Genomic DNA, 24,112 nt, shown 5'->3' on the forward strand with positions numbered 1-24,112 from the left:
CCTGGGCTACAGAGCGAGAATCCATCTCAAAAAAATAATAATAATAAGTGCGCTTACAGTTTTAGGACCATACGCTTGCATTTATCCCCTAAGAATCTCTCGTAAAAAGTGGTATTCATTCAAGACTGGGTGAATGCCCCTCGGTGTGGGCTTCTACCAGGGGAAGTGTTTTACAGATCAGAGCATGCTGTTACACAGAATTAGAGCACTTCTTCACACTGATGAGATGGGCATGACACAATGGCCATGATTAACTCAACTTCATTTACTTTTCATGATGTTAATTTTCAATAACACATTCTTCACATACAAGTCACACCCAGGACCTCCCACCTCCATTGATTTCATCTGGAACTTTGTAGATACTGCTGTGGTCTCTGTGCAGCAAGCTGAATAAGTATTTCTGCCTTAATGGATAATTCTTGTTATCTTTTCCAAACACCTGGAATACAGTCTTCAAACATTTAAGGATTAGAGCAGCTTGGAGGCAGTGATCAGTGATTAATCAGCTAATTCCCTCCACAGGCGGAGATAATAAGTGATAAGAGCTCCTCAGCCCAAGGAAACTGGGATGTGACCTCTCCTCTCACTCCAGGAATTACCAAGATAGGCTTTCTTCCTCTTTCGTCCTGACATTTACTTTCTTTTCTCTTTTCCTTTACCCATCTCTGACTTTTTCCAGATATCTTTTCTATTTCTAATTACCTCTTTCTCCCCTCCCCATTTATTTTTGCCTTCCTTTCGCTTTTCTTCTTTCCCCCTCACTGTCCTTTCTGTATCCCCTCCAGGGTATTTATAGCTCTAAAAAAATACAGTAATTACTCCCAAACACAAGTTCCTGCCATACATATTCTAGGTCAGTGTTTTTCGGACAATTCTGAAAATTAGTTGTGAAATTAATTTAGTAGGCCTATGCAGTGAAATGAAATAGCACTGAACTGAATATAAAGTATGACCACAAGGCACATATTATGAATAAGTCTTGTTTCATGAAACTTGTGTTTCTGTGCAAAAGTTTAGCATGTGTGTACCAGTTTGCCATGCAACATGTATTTCTTACTGTGAGTGACTTCACTGTTTGGATTTATATGAATGCATCTCTTCTGGATCCACAAGAATTAGAAAACTTAGCTCTGTTCCTGGCATCTAGGCACTTATTGTTTGTTGAATGAATGAAAGACATGTGAATGACTCCTGTTGGGGATAATTAGAAAAAGAGAAGAGGAGTAAGTGGTTTCTGTGATACATCCATAGTGGATAAAATAAATGCAGGCCTTGGAAAATAGGCTTCCATTATTTCCAGTGAATTGGGAGCTGGGATAAGCATGTGAGGGAAGAAAATAGTAAGAAGCTCCCAGCTGAAAGTCAAAATGAAAAAACCTTTTTTTTTGTTTTGTTTTTACAATTTAACATATTGCCCGTTTTATTTTGGTGAGTACAAAGCATATCACGAACGAGAGCTTTCATGGGCTCATGTCAGAGCTTAGGTACCCCCTTCACATGGGGAGATGGTCCTGTTGCACCACTTTTGGAAAACCATACATAATTCTGTGTGTTTAATCCAAGGGACAGGTAGAAACAAGATCAGGAAGAGATGCTAAGGGAGAGAGTATTGCCTTTATCCTAAAAGCTCTGTTCTAATCAGGGGAGCGATAGGCTTACATTTGCGTTTTGGAAAGGTCACTCTGGAAGTAGTGTGGAGAGTGGATTAGAGGCAGGGCGATAAACAACATATCTGTTGGAAACATCAGGACAAGAAAGTGATTGGAGTCTGCTGTTGGCAGTTGAAATAGAGATGGGGTATTCTTTTACAAAGGTAGAATCTGTAAGTCTTCTCAAAACTTGTTAGTGGATTGGGTTTCAGGAATATTTGAGAGGCCAGGGGTTTTATAGCTTGGTTGACCAGCTATAGTGGCAAGTTGCCAGGATAGCAAATATACAACAAGGGCAAGTTTGGGGGCTAAGGTAGTGAGTTTCAGACAATAATGGGAAACCTAAGATGATATGTCTGGGCCTCAAGTGGTTTTAGATTAGAGAGATTCAATAATTTGGGTTTTCTCGGCTATTGATTTAAAAAGCAAGTAAGTTAAATTTCTTTTTTCTTTTTTTTTTATTATACTTTAAGTTCTAGGGTACATGTGCACAACGTGCAGGTTTGTTACATATGTATACATGTGCCATGTTGGTGTGCTGCACCCATTGACTCATCATTTACATTAGGTATATCTCCTAATGCTAGCCTTCCCCCCTCCCCCCACCCCACAACAGTCCCCAGTGTGTGATGTTCCCCTTCCTGTGTCCAAGTGTTCTCATTGTTCAATTCCCACCTATGAGTGAGAACATGCTGTGTTTGATAGTTCATGTCCTTTGTAGGGACATGGATGAAGCTGGAAACCATCATTCTCAGCAAACTATCGCAAGTTAAATTTCTTTAACTTTCTCTAAACTAAAGGGGCCCAAGTTAAATAGATTATTTATATGTGGTTTAAACATTTTCTAAGGATTCTTGTCAGATTAAAGGGAAAACATTCTTTAATGACTGATAGAGATGAAGACTTTATGGTTTTTAATGTATTTTTGTCTCATAAGACACTCTTACCTTTTACATGAGCAAGCAGGTTAATCTGGGGGAGCAGATTTGGATATCTGATGTGGTCATATGAGGGGTATTACTCATTGGTTTTCCTTGCTCTGTATACAAGAACCACATTTTTTAGTGGTTTAACCTTTAATATTTTGTTAGTTTACCAAATTATCATCAGTTTTGTGTATGGAAGGTGAGTGGGAGGATTTGGGGCAGATGGAGTGATTATTGAGCCTTGTGCTGTGTCACCGTGGCTTCCTGACAACCATTCCTTTTGTACAATGAAGATGAGTGTCCAGGTATGATGTATTTATAGCCCTTGTCTTCTCTGAGCATATACTAGAAGTCTTTTCAGTTAAGATAAACTTTTGGCTGAAATACAAGAAAACACATTTCAATTTTATATTTAAATATAGTCACACTGCCCTTTGCATGTTACTCAGAACCTTAAAAAGTACAAACTTCATTAAGTCCAAATTGTGTTTAAAATTTACCAACAGATCTTTTAGTATTATATAAGCAATTTTCCATGTTAAGTATTTTAATATTATTACTTATTTTCCTTAGGGTCTTATGAAGAAATTTGAGAAATCATACTCTGGAAATCAATTGCATTCTATTTTCATAATTAAAGATCTGCTCATATTTTATAAACACCTTTCTGCTATCCCTCCCAATTTTATGGGAACAGAAAGTCCTTGTAAATGGAACCCACTATGTGGTATTGTTAATCTAAAACTAATATAAAGAGACTTTGAGTTCTTGAGAGCAAGGCCCATCTGTCTTTGTATCCCCAGTCCATACCGTGATACTAATAACATTAAATTATGAATGAGGAATATTTGGCATTCAACAATTTTACCTCTTTTAGGAATTTTATGCAGTAATTGTGAGGGAGAGATGCAAGGTTTAACAAATTGGAGCAAATGACAAGGCAGATGATAAATATTTGTAAGTTTTTACTTTACTATGGTTTATTTTCAGTTTTAGGTATAGCAGCTCAGAGTTCTGAGCAGAATCCCTTGATATTCCCAACTGACAAACTACTCCAGTCCTTATTAGTTGAGTTACACATTGTGTTAGAAGGACAGGATACAAGGGACCATGGTTTTCTGATTTTTAGATTCCCTACTGCTACCAAATGTCTGAAGCTCTTAATGAGAGAATTTCCTCCCATAGGCAATTAGCTCTTGAAGTCCCTTGATCAACATAACTGGAGAAGAACCATGATTTCCTGATTTGCATTTGCCTATTGTTTCCAAATACATGAAGCTCTAAAAGAGGATTTGCTTTGTTTTTATATTTAACTTACTTTTAGAATCCTATGATTTTAGAAAACTATTGTGGTTTGATCTTACTTGGAAAGAGTAGAAATTTTTATATTCTTAAAAATCTTGCCTCTCAAACCCACTTTCTGTTAACTTGCAAAAAACTCTTTATAAGATGGTTTTACATCCATTACTAAAGGGTTGCAGTTTCTATTCCGTATGTGTGATGTCACCAAAATCCTAATTAAATCCTGAAATGTCTGAATAAAATGTATCCTGTCCTTATTCAGAAAAGTAATTGAGACCATCTTGACTTTCTTAACGATTTTGTTTTACTCTTCATGTTAAAAATGTATTAATGTCAAAATAAAATCAATTCATGCTTTTTAAGCATTGTATATCAGAGAAATGTATTAGTTTTTTTTACAATAAAACTTTTAGGTTTATTTCAAAATATAAATAACTAAATTGGTAGCTCATTTATTATGTGACTTGAAAATACAAAAGTACATTTAATAGAGTTAGTGTGCTCAAATACATTTATTTTTGATAATAGAATAGAGCTAGGAAAATCGTTCTGATAATCTCAGAAGCTTCAGTAAATGTTTAACAGATAGAAAAAAACAAAAAATGTAATTTTAGATGTCTTTTTGACAGCTCTACATAAAATTATATTGAAGCTTCTTAAGCCCAGTAACTTTGTTTTGCACATGCTTATCTGTTCATTATTATTCCTATTGGCCTAAAGATTTTGCTTTTACTTGTTTTAAACAGTTTTAACTCTTCTTAGACTTTGTCATGCTATAACAGAATCAGTTACTGGTTTGTTTATAAATCATGTAGGTGATTTAATTTAGTTTATTGTTTGTTAGGTTTATTGTTCAACCTTTAATTTTATTTTTGTTTATCTGGAACCTTGGATATGTTTCCCTGCAGACCCATAATAAGAAACTCAATCGGTGTAATCTGAATTATTCACATACTTATTTATTCCCAAAGCCCCTCTATAATGACTTCTAGAGATACAAAGGGATAATCACACTTGTGTGGAGAGGTGCAAGATGGCATTTTCAGGATGCCCCATAATGTGCACACATGTGTGCACACACGAGTGTGTGTGTGTGTGCATGTGCTTGTGTAGTGTATTAAGACTATGAAATCTGAGAACTGGAAGATGATTAGGGATCATCTGATTCCATCCTCTGATTTTATAAGGAGTCCTGGAGAGGGTCAGTAGTTCATTCAGGTTACTTTTTTTTTTTTTAATTATACTTTTAAGTTCTGGGATACATGTACAGAATGCATAGGTTTGTTACATAGGTATACATGTGCCATGGTGGTTTGCTGCACCCATCAACCCATCATCTACATTAGGTATTTCTCTTAATGCTATCCCTCCCCTAGTTCCCCAACCCGCAACAGGCCCTCCCTGTGTCCATGTGTTCTCATTGTTCAACTCCCACTTCTGAGTGAGAACATGCAGTGTTTGGTTTTCTGTTCCTGTGTTAGTTGCTGAGAATGATTGTTTCCAGCATCATCCATGTCCCTGCAAAGGACATGAACTCATCCTTTTTATGGCTGCATAGTATTCCATGGTGTATTTGTGCCACATTTTCTTTATCCAGTCTATCATTGATAGGCATTTGGTTTGGTTCCAAGTCTTTGCTATTGTGAATAATGTGTGCACACAATAAACATATGTGTGCATGTGTCTTTATAGTAGAATGATTTATAATCCTTTGGGTACATACCCAATAATGGGATTGCTGGGTCAAATGGCATTTCTGGTTCTAGATTCTTGAGGAATCGTCACACGGTCTTCCACAATGGTTGAACTAATTTACACTCCCACCAACAGTGTAAAAGTGTTTCTATTTCTCCACATCTTCTCCAGCATCTGTTGTTTCCTGACTTTTAAATGATCACCATTCTAACTGGCATGAGATGGTATCTTATTGTGGTTTTTATTTGTATTTCTCTAATGACCAGTGATGATGAGCTTTTTTAATATATATTTGTTGGCCGCATAAATGTGTTCTTTTGAGAAGTGTCTGTTCATATCCTTCTCCCACTTTTTGACAGGTTTGTTTGTTTCTTGTAAATTTGTTTAAGTTCCTTGTAGATTCTGGATATTAGATCTTTGTCAGATGGATAGATTGCAAAACTTTTCTCCCATTCTGTAGGTTGCCTGTTCACTCTGATGATAGTTTCTTTTACTGTGCAGAAGCTCTTTAGTTGAATTAGACCCCATTTGTCTATTTTGGCTTTTGTTGCCATTGCTTTTAGTGTTTTAGTCCTGAAGTGTTTGCCCATGCCTATGTTCTGAATGGTATTGCCTAGGTTTTCTTCTAGGGTTTTTATGGTTTTAGGTCTTATGTTTAAGTATTTAATCCATCTGGAGTTAATTTTTGTATAAGGTGTAAGGAAGGGGTCCAGTTTCAGTTTTCTACATATGGCTAGCCAGTTTTCCCAACACCATTTATTAAATAGGGAATCCTTTCCCCATTGCTTGTTTTGTCAGATTTGTCAAAGATTGTAGATGTGTGATGTTTTTTCTGAGGCCTCTGTTCTGAACAGAGCAGATCAGAGTTACTTTTAAGTGGTAAAGCTGGCACTCAAATTCATTTCTTTGGGACTCAAACAGAAAGTCCAATAACACAATCTGCTGAGCCAGGCACCTGGAATTTACCCAACCTGGGCACCTACTGGGTTCAGCTAAAAGTGGAGGAGCACTCACAGGAAGCATGGAGAGTAGCAAATATCCATGTGAGCAAATGGCTAGCAGCTGTCACCAAAGGAAGAAGAGGGAAAAGATAGAAAACATAAAGCAAAGGTCCTCAAAAGGTGGTCTGCAAAACCCTCAAAATGTGGTCTGTAGGCCCTGGTTCCAAGACCCTTTCATTGGGTCTGTGATAGCAAGGCAGTGGCACCAAAGTATATTGGTGATCATTATTTTCTTCACTCCTACACACTCACAGCAAAAAAAAAAAAAAAAAAAAAAAAGAGAGAAGAAAGAAAAAAATGCCAGTTTTATTAAGTCATGACAAAGCAGTAAAAATTATTAAATATCAACACTTGAATGCATGTATTTTTAGTATTCTTTGTGACAAAATGGAAAATATGCATAAGGCACTTCTTGCATATCATAATACTTGTATTTCAAAGTACTATGGTTGTCTTGAGGAAAAGGACTTGTGTGGTGATTGTCTAAGTTGTGAGCTAACTCATTGCTTTTTTTTTGTGAGCTAATTGCTTTTTTCACCAAACACCAATTGAAATAATGACAGACAGACAAACTATGTTTCTTTGGGCTTGGATATTTGACAGACACTTTTTCAAAAATGAACAAAGTAAGCCTGTCACTTCAAGAAAAACAATTTACAGTGTTTGTTACCAATGATAAAGTAGATCTTTTGAGTGAAAATTAGAATTTTTGAACACGTATATCTACCACCGTGAACAATACTTAAGATTGTTTTATGAGATCAGTAGCAGTCTTAACAAATGTGATTTTTTTGATGTATAATCAGATATGTTACCATTTAGAAGATCTTCATATCTGGGTGAACCAGTATTTTCCAAATGATCAATATATGCTGTTAAAAACTCATGCATGGGTAAAAAGCATTCATTCCAAGTGTGACATGCATCAATGGATAAGAGAGTATGAGAAGTTCATTGATATAGTTTCAGTTCTACATTGCAACTAACCTTTAAGAAACTTGTCAAATTTTGTTGTAGTATCAAATAAAAATATTTGAAGGCTTATTTGGAAGGCTATTAAAATACTGCTTCCTTTTCTAACCACTTATCTCTGTGAGGCCATATTTTCTTCATATATGCCAACCAAAACAATGTATCACGACAGATTCTGCAAAAGCAGATTTGAGAATCCAGTTGTCTTCTATTAAGCCAGATATAGAAAAGATTCGCAAGCTGTGAAACATTGCTTCTTTTGCCACTAAGTTTTTTGTTTTAAAAATTGTTATTTTTCATTAAGAAGTTGTTTATGCTATCATGTGTTGGGTTTGTTATTTTAATAATTATTTTTTAACTTCTGTCTTAATGTCTTATATGGTAAATATCACTAGATATAACCCATATTAACCAAAGCTAATTGGGGTCTTCAGTAATGCTTTTAAGAGTGTGAAGGGATTCTGAGACTGAAAAGTTTGAGAACTTGTTCGCATAGGGTAGTTGATTATTTATGTCAATATGCATTACTAAGGCAACCAGGGACGTTATTATGTTACAGCCTTGCTCAGTATTTGCCAGCAGGATGATATCTGTGACTGGTTGAAGAAATCTTATTTTCTATGATTTATGATTTTTTAAGGAATTCAGGAAGCAAATGTTCTCTTTTTAAAGGGTTCTATCAAAAACTGTCTGAACTTCTTAGGATGCTTTCAGCTCCAAATAACAGAACCTCTAACTCAACTGGTTTAAACAGTAAGATAATTTATTATCTTACTTCCCTGAAAGATTGCAGATGGGCAAGCTCCAGAGCTGGTGGATTCAGGGGCTTCGTGTGATCATGAAGTGCCCAGGTTTTTCCATCTCTCTGCTCCCCCATTGTCAGTATTGCCCCATCTTCAGACCAGTAGGAAGATGGCCACAGCAGTTCCAGGTGCCACAGTCAGACACAGTAGTGCCCAGGGCAGAAGGGAAACACTGACTCTGTGTCTCCTCCTTAGGGGCAAGGAGTCCCAGAACCTGCTCAGCAAATTTCTCATGTCAAATGGCCAGGATTGGGTCACAGGCTAACCCCTAAGTATGTTACTGCCAGGCTATGTATGGGCTGATGGTGATTGGCTTAGAATACTCATTCAGGGTGCATGGATGTAGGGAAGTTGATCACAGTGACTTAGTTATTAAAAACAAAATCCTTCGTACTTTTCCAGTTAACTGGAAATTCATTTGCACAGGTGCCCAAAAAGAGAGGTAGCATGAATCTGTGGAAAGAATTCTAGGCCAGAGAATCAGGCACCCTGGGATCTGATCCCATTCCTTCCGCTGCTGAGCTGTGAGTCCTTGCCTGTCCAGGTCGTGGCTGCCTTGCTGGTGCATGGGCTAGAGCATTAGTTCTGGGATTGTCTGGTTCATTGGTTCATTTATTCCCTTGCTCACTCCTTCATTCAATAATAATTGAGTGCTCACTCAGTTGTTTAAGTCACGTGAAGGGTACAAATCAGCACTAAAATGCTGCCTGTTTAGCCACGACAGACATTCTTCCTCCTGTGCTGCATACGCATTCAAAGCCCAATGGGAATTAAGATCCAAACTGTTTGTTCACTCATGGAATACTCATGCAATAAATTGTTTAGTGCCCTCAGCAAAGAGTCCTTGCCACAAAGCTTATTAGTGAGCAGTCCAAGTTTTCCCTCATCTTATTAAATATAAAATTTGTTTAGAAGTGAAAACAGAAAAATACGTTCTGAAAAAGGTAAGTTTTTGTCCCAGGAAAGATGCTTGTGGGCCTAGCTGTCTATAGTTGTCCCAGTTCCCTCAGTATCAGAAAGAGTATGAGGCAGAGAACCAGGCTGGTCAGAGAACAGAAAGACAGCTGTGAGAAATGAGACCACATTCTCGGAATATCCAAGGATACTCTTGTGTTGTAGTTCCCAGATAAGATGCTTAGAAAGGTTTTATTTTTTTAAAACCAAGCTGGTAAAATTTCACAGACCTTTCTCATGTGCAGTGTTGGTTAATTTTTCATGTCACGTGCAGTGCTGAGATAACTGGGAGTATTTATCTCAGAAAAGAGAATTAGGAATCATGTGATCATTCCCTCAAGTAATATTCGAATCACTGTCAAGTGAAGCAGAGCTGTTTGAGTTGCTTCAGGGACCAATAAGTGAAACATATAGGGAGGAAGATTTAGGGTTGCTGAAGAGGACATCTTTCTAACAACCAGAGCTATTGACAATGACCTGTAAACATTCCATGATTGAAAGTCCTGGGTATCCATTACTCGAGTACTCAAGCAGAGGCAGATGACCTTCTATCAGCAATGTGATGGAGAGCATCTTCATTTGGTTTGAGGTTGGACAAGATGATTGGAATAAAGGTCATTTAAAGATTCTATAATTATTATCATAGCCACAAGTCATCTAATAGTTGGAATCATTAACAGCTTGAAAGAACGTAGGTGATTCATTTATTCACCAAATACCTAAGCACCTACTATGTGTCAGGCACTGTTCTAGTCACTGGGGACATAGTAGAAAACAAGACTGACAAGATTCCCCAGGGCCCTTCTGTTTTAGAGTGGGCAGACTAGTATTGACCTAATACATGTATAAGTAAGACAGTTTCATATTAGGGTAAATACCCTGAAGAACACAAAGCAGGGGAATGCGAGAGAGTGCTTGGAGCAGGTACAGGTCAGGAGCTGTTTTAAATTAGGCTTAGAGGAAAGTTTTCTCTGAGGAGTTAATGTTTAAGCTGAGAACTTAGTGAAAAAGAGCAGTCTACATGAGATGACTGGGGAAGAGTGTTTGAAGCAGAGAGAACATACACAAAAGACCAGGGCAGGAATAAACTTGGCATGTTTGAGAAGCAAGCTGATATGGTTAGGCTTTGTGTCCCTGCTCAAATCTCATCTTGAATTATAATCCCCTTGTGTCAAGGGAGAGACCAGGTGGAGGTAATTGAATCACAGGGATGGTTTTTCCCCATGCTGTTCTCGTGATAGTGAGTGAGTTCTCTTGAGATGGTTTTATAAGGAGCTCTTCCCTTTCGCTTGTCACTTCTCCTTCCTGCCACCTTGTGAAGAAGGTGCCTTGCTTCCCCTTTTCCATGATTGTAAATTTCCTGAGGCCTCCCTAGCCATGCTGAACTGTGAGTCAAGCAAACCCCTTTTCTCTGTAAATCAGCCAGTCTCAGGCAGTTCTTTATAGCAGTGTAAAAATGGACTAATATGCAAGCTGAAGCCTGGGTCAAAGGCACAGAGGCATGTGCTGTGGGATGGAGTGAGGCATAGGTAGGGGCCAGATCTCAGGGAACCTCTCACAGGAGCTTAGCTGTTACTCTGAACTCATCCAGAAGGTTTTAAGTAGAGAGCTGCATCTCTGATTTACATCTCTAAAAGATGACCATGGGTGCTTTCTGAATTGTAGTGGACAAGGATGTAAGCAAAGAGGGAAATAGGAGGAAACTCAAGAGGAGTTGGTTTCATGGGAGCCAAGAGAAGAAAGTGTTTCAAGAAGGAAAATGGGCAGCAGTGTTGAATACAGAAAAATGATTATTGGTTTAGGCAACAGGAAGGTTATTAATGATCCTGATGAGAGTGTTTCTGTGGGTGGTAGCCTTGCAAGCCCACTTGGAATGAATTTAGGAAAAAATGGCAAGTAAGAGAGCATCAGGAGTAGAAGCCATTCTTTCAAAAAATGTTACTATAAAGGGGTGCAGAGGAATAGGACAGTATCTGGAGGGGAATATGAACTTGAGGAATGATCGTTCCTCAGACAGGAGTTACACAGCAGATTCTCTGTATGCTGATGGCAGAGACAGATGCTGGGCACTGGACAGGGTGAATAACTGCAGGAGAGAGATCCTCGAAAAGGCACTGAATCATTTTGTATTCTTATGTAAATCTAGAATTTCATTATCTTTGGTGTTGATTAGTTTGTTGTAATTTTCTCATATTAAATGGAACCATATGAAATCACCAATATTTACACTTTTTACCTATAAAAGTAGCAGTTTCATATAATTCTACCTAATATTTTAACCTAGACAATTTTATATTTATAGGTCCTTTTAATTTATATACATTTTAAATTGGGAATCTCAAGCTTATCTAAAAGTTACCATTATAAAACAGAGACCATTCCCTCCCCACTGCCAATCATTTGAGAGTGAGTTTCAGGCCTGATATCCTCTCTCTCTCTACCACTTTTGTGGGTATTTTTATACATAAGAATATTCTCCTAGAAAATCACAATACAATCAGGAAAATCGGGAAATTAACCTCAGTACACTGCAACTTTCTAATCCTCAAACCCATTCAAGTTTTTGCCAGTACTCCCTAAAATGTCCTTAATTGCAAAGGGATCCAGTCCAGCATCTGATGGTGCATTTAGTTGTCATGTCTCTTTAGCCTTTTTCATTCTGGTACACTTCTCCACTCTTCCTTGATTTTTATGACCTTGACACGTTGAAGAATGCAGGCCAGTTATTTTATAGAATAGGCATTGATTTGGGTTTGTTATGATTATCTTCAGCTTATGAATCAGGGGATAACGGTGTGGTAGCTCACCTTCAAGTTGGCCCCACCTCCTGTTATTCATATCCTCTTGTAATCTCCTCCCACATGGTACCGGGATTGGTCTTTGTGACCACGAGCATACAGCAGAAGTGATAAGGTTGTGAAAGTTATCTCTTGGATCACTTGCTCCAGGAAACTAGCTTCCATGTTGTGAGCAGCCATATGGATAGGCCCATAAGGAACTGATGTGTCCAGCCAACAACTAGTGAGAAATTGGAGCCTGTCAACCAAGTGAGTAAACTTGGAAGAGGATGCTCCAGCCTCCGTTAAGCCTTGAGTTGACAGTAGCTGTAATCAACAGATTGACTGCAACCTCCTGGGACACCTGGAACCAGAACCACTAAACTAAGCCCCTCTCAGATCCCTGACCTCCAGAAACTGTGACATAATAAATGTTGGCTTAAGGTACATCACAAATACAGACAGGAATATCACAAAAGTGATGGTGAGTTCTTTTTATTGCATCCTACCATGGGCACACAAATTCAGTCTGTGCCATTACTGATGATGTTTATTTATTTATTTAAAGACAGTCTCGCTCTGTAACCCAGGCTGGAGTGCAGTAGTATAATCACAGAACCTTGACCTGCCCGGCTCAAGCGATACTCCCACCTCAACTTCCCAACTAGCTGGGCCCACAAGCACATGCCACCACACCCAGCTAATTTTTTAATTTTTTTTGTAGAGATGGGAGTCTCACTATATTGCCCACGCTGATTTTGAACTCCCAGACTCAAGTGACCCTCCTGCCTCAGCCTCCCAAAGTGCTGGGATTATAGGCTTGAGCCACCGTGCCTGGCCTAATGATTTTTTTTTTATCCTTTGAGTAAGCAATGTCATCTGAGCTTTTCTACTGTGAAGTTGCTTGTTTTTTTCTTGTAATTAATAAATATTTTATGGAAGGTACTTTGAAACTAAAAATCCTTCATCATATTTCCATTTTTTTCATTGTTTTTCTTACTATGAGATCCTAACGTCCTGTGTATTCAATGGGATATACTTTGTTACTGACATTATTTGTTGTGAAGCTCAGAGTGTTCCAAATTTCACCAGAGTCTCCTCAGCCTGGCTTCTGTGTTCTTTGGATATGTCCTCATCAGCCTTTGAATACTTCTTTGATTTCTGGCACAAGATGTTCTAGGCTCATCATGTCCTTTGTCTGTCCCAGCCCTGAAATCATTTCTCTGAGGCTCCCTGATTATTTTTAGTGGAAAATGACATTAAAGCCAAGATCTGAGCATTAGGTATACCTGTTGCAATTGGAGGGTCACTGCCCCCAGGCCCACTCAAAAAACATTCACAAATTTATGTGTACATGTACATATATGTGTAAATGTATGTATAAGTATATACATGCATATCTATTTTATATATTATATCAAATATTTTTATAAATAAAATATAGCTAAATATATATTTAAATCCATAAGTTCATACTGATTCTTCTAACTGTAGGGTATCCAGGGTTTATTCTAGCCTTCTCCAACAGTTAGGAAACTGGACTCCCATTACCCTCGTTATGTTTATTTGATTTATTCCCCCATACATAACCAGTTGGCTGTCACCACTGCATCCACCCCTTCCCAGACATGAACGCCCTTCCTTCAGGCTCTGACTCCACTCATGGAGACACCCACCCACAGGGATGCCCTCTTCCTCTCCTTGGGCTCCAGGCCACCCTTCCATATGGACTCCCATGCCTGCCTCTCCCTGCTTGGGCTCTGACATACTTCCTCCGGCTGCGTCCACATGCATGCTCTCCTCTCCCCATCCAGGTTCTCACTCCCTACACTGGATCTGTCCTCTGGAGGGATGGCCTTCTCTTGCCTGGGCTCTAACTCCCCACTCCAGGCTGCCCCCCCCACCCCCCCGTTAATGAGAGTGCCCTCCTCATGCTGCTTGGTACCACCATCCCCCAGACTGTCACAGGCTGCCTCTCCATGCAGATTATACCCATCTGAGGGCTCTAGGACTGGCCTGTGCAGTGGAGAAGGGGAAGAGCACGGCTTTATGATCACATAAAGGCCATCGGCACTGAAAGGGACATTGTGCTCCCCAACAGCTGAATTTTTCATTTTTTCTGTAGTAGTGGGTTCCAGTTTTCCAGTTACACTGGCATATTTTAGGAAACTTGTTGAAATGCAAATTCTAAAGCAAGCAAACAAAAAAAAACAATAAAAACAGGGAGCAACCAGAGTGTTCCTAGAGCATGTTTAGATTATGGGGGGGGGCACTCAGTTTTCATTTTTGACTTTTGACTACTGTTTAAATTTTCCACATTTATACTTTTATTTATATTAATAATACTAACAGATTATAGGCCATGTTTTCTTTATAATTGCCAGTATTAAAGATAATTAGCATTATTATTTTTTAAAAGATAAAAAAATACAGAATCCAAGGCCCCATTGCTAGAGATTCTAATCCAGTACACTCGGGCCAAAGCCTGGAAATCTGTGCTTTGTACAGTTCTCCATTTGAATGTAACAATAAGCCAGGCTGGGGAGCTGCTCCACTGGATCCTTCACAGGAATGTCCTCAGTAGCCGATGGAACATCCACTGGGCAGAGCACCCCTGACTTCATCCGTCTGCAACCTCAGGACACTTAGGTCTTGTTTTGGAGGCTCATGATCCTACTGATACCTTCTTCCAAAAAACAGTTTTCTGTGATTCTTAGGAAAACTCTGAAAAGATGCAGGTTAAGCATCCCTCCAAACCATCAACGTCATCAAAAACAAGTAAAGCCTGAGACTCACTGCCCAGAGGAGCCTAAGGAGACGTGATGACTAAATGAAATGTGTCCCAAATGGGATCCTGGGACAGTAAAAGGACGTTAGGCAAAAACCAAGTATGGACTGTAGGTAATAATCACGTATCACTATCAGGTCATGAAGTATAGCAAATGTACCGTACTAATGGAAGAAGGTGTTAATAAGACAGGAAATTGTATCCTGCACAGACCCAGTGCTGTGTGGGATACCCAGTCCTTGTTGCCTGTGGCTCACAGCCAAGCCCTCTCTCATTAAACAACATGGAATATGTAGGAACTCTCTGTCCTCTGCACGATAATTCTGTAAATCTAAAGTGGTTCTAAAATTAAAAGTTTATTAGAAAGAAGATGGAAGTCACAAGAAGTGTAATGATGTGACATGACAAAGTCAATGGTAGCTCTTTATAAATAACCAGAAAAAGATGAGACTATCAGAACGCACATGAAGAACCTAAGTAGGGCGTCATCACCTCCATGTGGGAGATAAGACACACGCCATTACTGCAATCCATTGGTCTGAGTTTCCAGGAGTGACAGCAGGAGTGGCTACCGCTGCTTCTGTTCTAGGAAATGTGAGGACAGAAGGGACTGATTGCTCCAAAAGGTCGCCGTATAAATGTCTGATGGATGACCAGTTGTGCAGAGGAAGCATCTGGCCCTGCATCCAGGCAGGGAGAAAGGATGACTCTGGTAGGAGCACTTATGTTCTTTGCCCTTTGAGAACAGCTGTTGTGTGCTTGATGTACCACCTGTCCTTTGTTGGCAGAAAAGCCCTTTCAGAGCAGACCCAGTACTGTGCAGGAGAACCAGTCCATGTTGCCTGTGGCTCAGAGCCAAGCCCTCTCTCATTAAACAACAGCCGAAATGTTTGAGTTAGAGCCTACAAACAATGCAGCCGAATATTGGTGGATGCTTCCCGAGTGTTTGTGATAATAAACGCAGCTGAAACAGAGAAAAGCTGCACTTCTTTTTATACTAAGGTAGACAATGTGTCCAGCATATGGGAGGGAAATTGTACTGTTTATAAATTGCATTCTGAATTGGAAGCATTTTACCTATTTCAGGTCAGAAAATCATCAAGCTTTATTTCTCTAAAGCCAAAAGTTATTTTTAAAATACAAATAACCTTTTTATTTTACAGCTCTCAGAGAGTGTGTAAAAAAAAAAAAAAAGAGTATAATTCTACCATACCTGGACCAACATGAAATATCAATGGCAAAGGCTAAAACATAAAAAGTGCCACCATTGCCACTCATATATGTGCGTATGGCAGACTGTCCTTTCTCTCTCCTTGAGGAGCAAACATACATGTGCTCAGCTGCTGAAAGGGTCCACTCTCTGCCAGAAGCATCTAGGAACACAGGTCTCCTGGCGGCCTGGGAGCTTGCTCCTGGTTAAAATAAGAGGGCTGGTGCTGGATTTCTTTACCTGTTAGCTTGGCTGTGTTGGCCAGGGTTCAGCTGCAGAAAGCATAATCTGCTCTAGGTAAATTAAATAGAAAGTGATTTATTATAGGATTTTAGGTAGCTTTCAGGATCGCTGGAGAGCTGAAGAAGTAGACCCTAGACCAAACTTCCACAAATGACTCCCAAAACCATATGGCAAACCATCAGAGGAGCTGCTGTGTCTGCCTTCATCAGGAAGCTGTCACAGCAGCTGCTGGCTCCAAAACCAGCCACCTCAGCTATACAGTTGTCCCCCTTTATCCACAGTTTCTCTTTCTGCAGTTTCAGTTACCTGAAGTACAGAACAGTAAGACATTTTGAGAGATGGAGACGCTATTCACATAACTTTTTTTTTTTTTTTAAGACAGAGTTTCGCTCTTGTTGCCCAGGTTGGAGGGCAATGGCGCGATCTTGGCTCACCACAACCTCCACCTCCTGGGTTCAAGCAATTCTCCTGCCTCAGCCTCCCAAGTAGCTGGGATTACAGGCATGCACCACCATGCCCGGCTAATTTTGTATTTTTAGTAGAGATGGGGTTTCTCCATGTTGGTCACGCTGGTCTCGAACTCCCGACCTCAGGTGATCTGCCTGCCTCGGTCTCCCAAAGTGCTGAGATTACAGGCATGAGCCACCACACCCGGCCTCACATAATTTTTATTACAGAATATTGTCATACATGTTCTATTATATTATTAGGTAGGCTGTTAATCTCTTACTGTGCCTAATTTATAAATTACCATGTCATAGGTATGTATGTACAGGAAAACAGGATATATGAGGGTTGGTGCTATCTGCAGTTTCCAGCGTCCATTGGGGGTCTTGGAACATATCCCTGAAGGATAAGGGGGAATACTGTATTCAAAAAGCCATTACCACAGTGCCCAACTCAAGAGCACATCACCTGTGCCACTAATCTGCAAAACACATACCCTGCATCCTGCTGCTTTCCATATGACCCAGTTTCAAATCAAAGCACTTGAGTACAAGTCGCAGGTAGAACCTAAATTGCATTCTGAACCTGAATTGCAAGGGATCCTGGGATATTAGTTTTTGCTTTTCCGCTGCTGCACACTAGACGGGGAATGCAGTGGATGCTGAGGAGCCTCATCTATGTCATGTGTCACTGTCTGCCCTTTAGCTTCCCAGTTATCCGTGTATACTCTTCTTGCTGTAAGTAGGACCCACTCCATTCCCTGTAAATTTCTGCATCCCATTCAAAGTCCAGGATCTCTGGGTATGTGTAGCTCTCTTCATTAGGTCCAGATAGAGCTTTTTATCACCTAGTGACCTATAAATAAAGACTGCCTCTGCTCCTGATATACAGTGGTGGCAAAGGAAAATTAAAACTCTCATTCAGAAAGGAGGAGTATGGGAAACATACAACTGCTATTTGTCCTTAGTAGTGACCTCATCCCACTAGGCAACAATGGTAAAGGCACCTTGCTCAGATAGTAGAGTGAGGTCCTTGGGTAGCCATCCAGGGCTCCTTTGTCCATGAAGCCCAAGGCCCAAATCAGTTTCAGTTGGGTCACATTTTGCCAGAAAGTAACTTTTGGTTATTATAGCTTTTGGGATTTCAGGATTGCAGATAGGAATTATGTATCTGTAATTTTGTTTTTGTTTTTGTTTTGAGACAGAGTCTTACTCTGTTGTCCAGACTGGAATGCAATGGCCTGATCTCGGCTCACTGCAACCTCCGCCTCCCAGGTTCACACAATTCTCCTGCCTCAGCCTCTGAAGTAGCTGGGATTACAGGTGCCCGCCACCACGAGCTGCTATTTTGTGTATTTTTAGTAGAAACGGGGTTTCACCATATTGGCCAGGCTGATCTCGAACTCCTGACCTCAGGTGATCCGCCTGCCTCAGCCTCTTAAAGTGCTGGGATTATAGGCATGACTCACCATGGCCATGTAATTGTTAACAATAGTTCACCTTTACTGAGCACTCAGGCACTATGCTATACATATAAACTTAAACTCATTTACTCCACTCAACAGCTGTGTGAGGTAGGAATTCTTAGTATCCCCTACTTCATTGATTTCTACTAAATCTTTCTTAAAAAGCCATTGAGTCCCTACCATATGCCAAGGAAAAAGAGCAAAAAGTCTGTACAGCCTCAGCAAAAGTTGCTCCCACTCACATGAGGGAGACAGATGGGGGCACAGACATAGGTGTGCACAAGGCTATGGGAACAGAGGAGAGGGGCATGCCCTACCTATGCATCAGGCAGGGCTCCCAGGCAGGTACTGGTCCAACTCTGTCCTCCAGGCAGAGAAAAAAACCAGCCCTGAGTGGACTGGGGAGGTCATTCCAGCAGCTTGTTAATAGTAAACCTGCTTCTTCAATCTAGCGACTGTCAAATGCTTCTGAGACCACAGCTCACATGAGAATAGATGGTATACCATCTCCTATTAGCTGCAATAAAAGTATATCTGATAAGTAGTCATTTAAAACATTTCTCTAACTCTTCTTGTACCTCTACTGCTATGTAGGCAATACCTGATTAGCCACATGCAGATGAACCATGAGATTAAGAGTGTTACCACCTCACCCGCACCCCCCAAGTCTCCCATCACTCAGATAGCCAGTCCATCTGAACATCTGCAGTATGCGTTGTCTCTGAAGGGAACAGGTCCGGCAAGAGTAGACGTGGGAGTTGAGCTGGGAAAGAGCTTCTCTGAGAGCAGCCCTGGGTAAGGAGGGGTGGTGTAGCAGTGCCGATCTCCAGAACAAGGAAAATGGAGCCCTGCAGCTGACAGTATGGCAAATGTAGGGCTCAGTTTGAGGGATGGGTGAAAAATACACTTTTAAAAATAGAGCCTGGTCGGTTCTGGAAGAAGGCAGCAGCAGCAGCAGCATCATTTTAAAATCTCTCTGAATCCTCACACAAAAAAACAGAACAACTGGTTAGCAAAACCAGGCACCTACAGACAACACTTACCTCAAAACTGTGCGATACAGTATCCTCACTCACCCCCAAATCTAAAGAGGATGTGGAAGTAAACCCCCCACAGCCATAAAGACCTGCATGATAGCAGTGTGTGTGCAAGAGGAAGAAGCAGGAGGAAACAGTGGGGCATCTGAGAGGCCTGAGAATAGGAGAACCCCAAAATAGCTCACAGGTAGTCGCCAGAAATCATTGAAGCTGAAACAGAAGGGGTTCACCCAATTCAATACCAGGGGAGTGCAAGGGATTTTTGGTGAGTTCTGAAAGGGGCTGAGGCCGTCTGGGCCACATACAGTCTTGAACCCAAACGGCCAAAGCTCCCTACCTGGACATGGCAGGAGAAATTGCTGATAGTGGCATTAAAATTGAGCAGGACAATGGAGATGAAGGAAGGAGAAAGCCCAGACAACATTGAGGAAGGGGAGCAGAGAGGAAACCTCAGAGAGCAAGCTGTGGCAGTTTTCAACACTTCACTGAAACAACCAAAGAGAGTTCTGTGAAGTTAAGTAAATCTTTCCTGAGCAACATCTTCTTACAGCTCTGCAAAACTAATTTTGCACAATAAGCAACAGAAAAGTATCAAGGGCCAATCTCATCATAGAATTATAAAGAACAGAGCAAAATAACATTCCTACAGACAATGAAATCATGCCAGAAAGACAAGTTAATAAAAGAGGTTAAAACAGAAACATACTATTTCAAAATGAACTAAAATACAAAGCTTTAAAAAGAAATGAAGAAAGACATTAAAAAGGACTGAAGATGAAGTGTCAAGTGATAATTTGACAAGTCCCAATGGGTTACTGGATCTAGGCATTGGCCTCAGTGACTGTTAACATAAAAAAGATAAGCAACCAGAGACTGTGACCCTCCTGATGAAGCAATACACCACCAGCCATAGTGTTACCAAAGCAATCGAAACAGCATCTCACCACCCTCTGGGTCCAACTGCTGACCCACAGCGCATATAAAGGGCAGAGGAACACTTTGAACTGCATCTTGACTATGCAAGCAGCTAAATCCAAACTGAGGGAAACTCTACAACCCAGATTCTTCAACAGATAAATTGTAAGAAAAAGAAAAGTGAGAGGCCGGGTTCAGTGGCTCGAGCCTGTAATCCCAGCACTTTGGGAGGGCAAGGCAGGAGGATCGCCTGAGCCCAGGAGTTCGAGGTTGCAGTGAGCCATGATCGCTCCATTGTATTCCAGCCTAGGAGATACAGGAAGACCCTGTGTCTTAAAAAAAGAAAGAAAAAGAAAGATGAGAGCATCTGTAGATTAAAAAGCATATCACACTTTTGAAATGAGCAGGACTATAGAATCTAGGGGTGCACATTTGAACGACAGTGTCTTTTTTTAAAAGTGCAAACAAGTGATTACTATAGAAGTCAGGATAAGGTTACTTATGAGTCAGGGTAGGGGATTGTGATGGGGTTGGGGCACCTGGAAGGGGCTTTTGGGTTGGTTGTCAGAATTTCTGTTTGTTTACCTGGGTGATGTTCACTTTATAATAATTATGTGTTTGTTTTGTGTGATTTTCTGTATCGATTTTATTTTGCAATAAAAAAGTGAAAAGCACTGGTAAATCTGAAACACAGTAGTTTTTCTATGATAAATATTGGGTAAATATTGTTAGTTTTTATATTTAATTAATGTGTACATAATGGTATTTCAACTGAAAACTTTACCAACCTTGTAGCAGCCTCTAAATCTCTATTGTGTATTTCATTGATCTTTGCTATATAACAGTGTAAAAAAACAGTCACATTTTAAGGACAAGATGTTCCAGCTCTACCTAGGAAATAATAGGGGTTACAGTATGTTATCTAGATTTATTGGCTCCAAACCCCATATGCTCATTAACTATATTTTTGTTCTAATATCTGCACAATAGAATGACCATTATAAAAGTTCACATGGCTTCACTTAAAGCACATTACTTGGTGGGGATGGTTGAAGTGTATATATATGTGTGTGTGTGTATGTATATATATATATATATATATATATATATATATATATATATCGCTTTCTTCAGCATTGTTTTTAAAGAATACATATACATATATAAGTAGGTATAAAGCATAACTATATATATATAGTGTGTGTGTATATATATATACACCATATCTCATCTACACACATGCATACACATTATTTTTTAATCTAGTGAATCTGATGACAAATGAGTCTACAAAAGATAGAGTTTAGCAGCCTTAGACATAACAAATGCATACATTTCTTTAATATCTATTAATGTCATTGTATACTTTGATCTATAAATAATTTTTTTGTGCTGTTGATGTTGCCTAGGCTTGGCGATAAAATCCTCAACCTTTGCCAGACTGCAGTGTCTTTCTTGTTGGTCTGTCATTGACATGGCTCCCTGACAGGTTGAAGACAGATCAGTGTTTGAGAAACACGTACAGTAAGAATTTTGCTGTCCTCATGCTCTCTCTATAACCAAAATGTCACTGACTCTCTTCCTATCAAAGTCTTTAAAGACCCAGCCTACTCTGAGGAGCTGAAATTCCTTATTGCTGATCCTTTGAAGGGCCTCATGAGCAGACAACCTGCTCTCCTGGTCACCCCTAGTTCTGTGTTATTTTAATGCAATTGAATGTAGTCTCCAGTCATCTCAGGATGTGTCATTGTTGTGGATAAAAGCAAAGTACAGTAAGCTATCTTGGCTGTTTGCTGGGAGCATTAAAAAGACCCACATTTAATTGTAGCACATCCTATGAAGATAGAGCCCTTTTGGGGGGTTTTACTGTACAACTTCCATCTTCCTTTGTATGTCACCGTACTATCTAGTGTCCAGTGAAATGTTGATATTTCAAGTACAGACCCAGCTGGGTCTGAGGTCCAGTTCTGTGTCTGACTACAGGGAATCTCCACAGGGGTCCCAGCTAACCAGTTTGGCATCCAGGGTGCATTTCTGATTCCTCTGATAAGATGCACCCTAGCAAGGCTGAGGTCTCAGCTCAGCAGAATAGATTCTCCAGATTTTCTTTCCCTGTGTTATCTTGGGCACCCTGTTATGGCCAACCACCCGCATTCTCACAGGGCCAGCCCTGAGCCAAGTAGCAGAGTGTGTTGTCATTGTGCCCCCCAGCCCCTCACACTGCCTTGTTAGCTTACCATCGTCCCCTTTTTGTGACCTTCCTGGACATGCTCGTGTGCATGCACACTCCGTACACACACATGCTCTGCATCACACCTGACTTGTTGGTTGACTCATCCCTTGAAGGCTTACCTCTTGCTAAGGATGTCAGACACGGAGCTGCATTTCAACAAGGCCTTTCTGGAGACAGTGCCTTCCCCACGGGGTGCATGGAAATTTTAAGCCTGTGGCAGCCCAAGTGGGGTGGGAATGGAGGGATATTTTTGAATAGAGAGATTATTGGGTGCTTTTCAAATTACCCGAGAAAGGAAGGAAGTGGCCTATTACAGACCCACAAGCCATCATCCAAAAGCCGGAGGCTAGATGAGTCGCAGAATTCCGAATTGTCAGCATAGCAGGATGGTACATACACCTTCTAATACATCCCCAGTGTGATTGGAGGCCATGTCCAATAGTTAGACACATTAATATTCACGGGAAGTGGGGGTGATTATTGTCAGCTCATTAGGATGTGCCACAAAATGAGTTTCAGTTGGGTTATATTTTGCAAGCAAGGTAACTTCTGGTTGTTTCAGCTTTTAGGATTTCAGAATTGCGGTAAGAAATTCTGTACCTGTAATTATTAACAACAGTTCACATTTACTGAGCTCCCAGGCAGTACGCTAAGTGAACACTTTATACATGTAAATATGCATATAAGCTCATTTATTCCTGTTTACAACTATGTGAGGTAGGCATTCTTATTCTCCCTTGCTTCACTGATTTCTACTATATCTTCCCTTAAAAACCAGTGAGTCCCTAGCGTGTGCCAAGGAAAAAGAGCAAAAAGTCTATACAGCCTTAGCTAAAGTTGCTCCCAGTCATGTGAGGGAGACAGATGGGTGTGCAGACGTGGGTGTACACAGAGATGTGGAAACAGAGGAGAGGGGTGTGCCCTGCCTATGCAATCAGGTGAGGCTCCCAGAGGTGTTGGTCCAGCTCTCTCCTCCAGGCAGAGAAGAGAACCAGCCTCGCAAGGACTGGGGAGGTCATCCCAGCAGCTTGTCAAAAGTCAGCCTGCTTATTCAATGCCAGCGACTCTCAAGTGCTTCTGAGACTGCTCCCTGTGGTCCTTCCTTATATTTTCTTTAATGCAGCCCTCTCTTTATTCATCTTTTATAGAACACCCATCTCGGCTTTCTCGCAAGATAACATCTATGAAGTTCAGCCCCCAAGAGTAGACAGAAAATCTACAGAGATCTTCCAAGCCCACATCCAGGCCAGCCAAGGTATCATGCAGCCCCTAGGAAAAGAGGACTCCTCCATGTACCGAGAGTACATCAGGAACCGCTACCTGTGAAAAGAGCGCAGGTCCACCTGGTGGACACGTCTGATTAGCTTAGAACCTGTCTTGTCTCATCTTCAAAAGGTAACTTATTAAAAGTCCTTTGCGTCTGAAGCCTTTCTCCTTTTCTGTCACTTGCAAATTCCAAATTATAGCTAATAAAGATGACTAGATAATTTGCTGTTGTTGCCTTTGCTTTATTTTAGAAATACTTTGTTTACAAATGTGGTCAATATACTATCACACCATCACATTAAGAAATTCACAGGTATCTGCTGAGCACCTGCTGTGTGCCAGGCACCATGGCAAGGTCTAGGAACATCCCAGTAAGCAAAACAGGCCAAAAAATTCCTCTCTTGTGAGGAATGAAGGCAAAGTATT

General features: G+C 40.4%; 1 protein-coding gene across 2 annotated transcripts in view; it reads left to right on the plus strand.

Annotated features, from left to right (window-relative positions):
- The window catches only part of FIG4 (FIG4 phosphoinositide 5-phosphatase), a 134,131-nt gene extending 110,224 nt beyond the window's left edge, over positions 1-23,907 (plus strand). For both annotated transcript variants that reach the window (NM_014845.6, XM_011536281.4), the window contains exon 23: positions 23,569-23,907. In NM_014845.6, the coding sequence (NP_055660.1) occupies positions 23,569-23,746 (178 nt within the window). In that variant the 3' untranslated portion in view covers positions 23,747-23,907. The remainder of the gene's footprint in view (positions 1-23,568) is intronic.

This window comes from Homo sapiens, chromosome 6 (genome assembly GCF_000001405.40).
Source record: "Homo sapiens chromosome 6, GRCh38.p14 Primary Assembly".
Taxonomy (NCBI): Eukaryota; Metazoa; Chordata; class Mammalia; order Primates; family Hominidae; genus Homo; species Homo sapiens.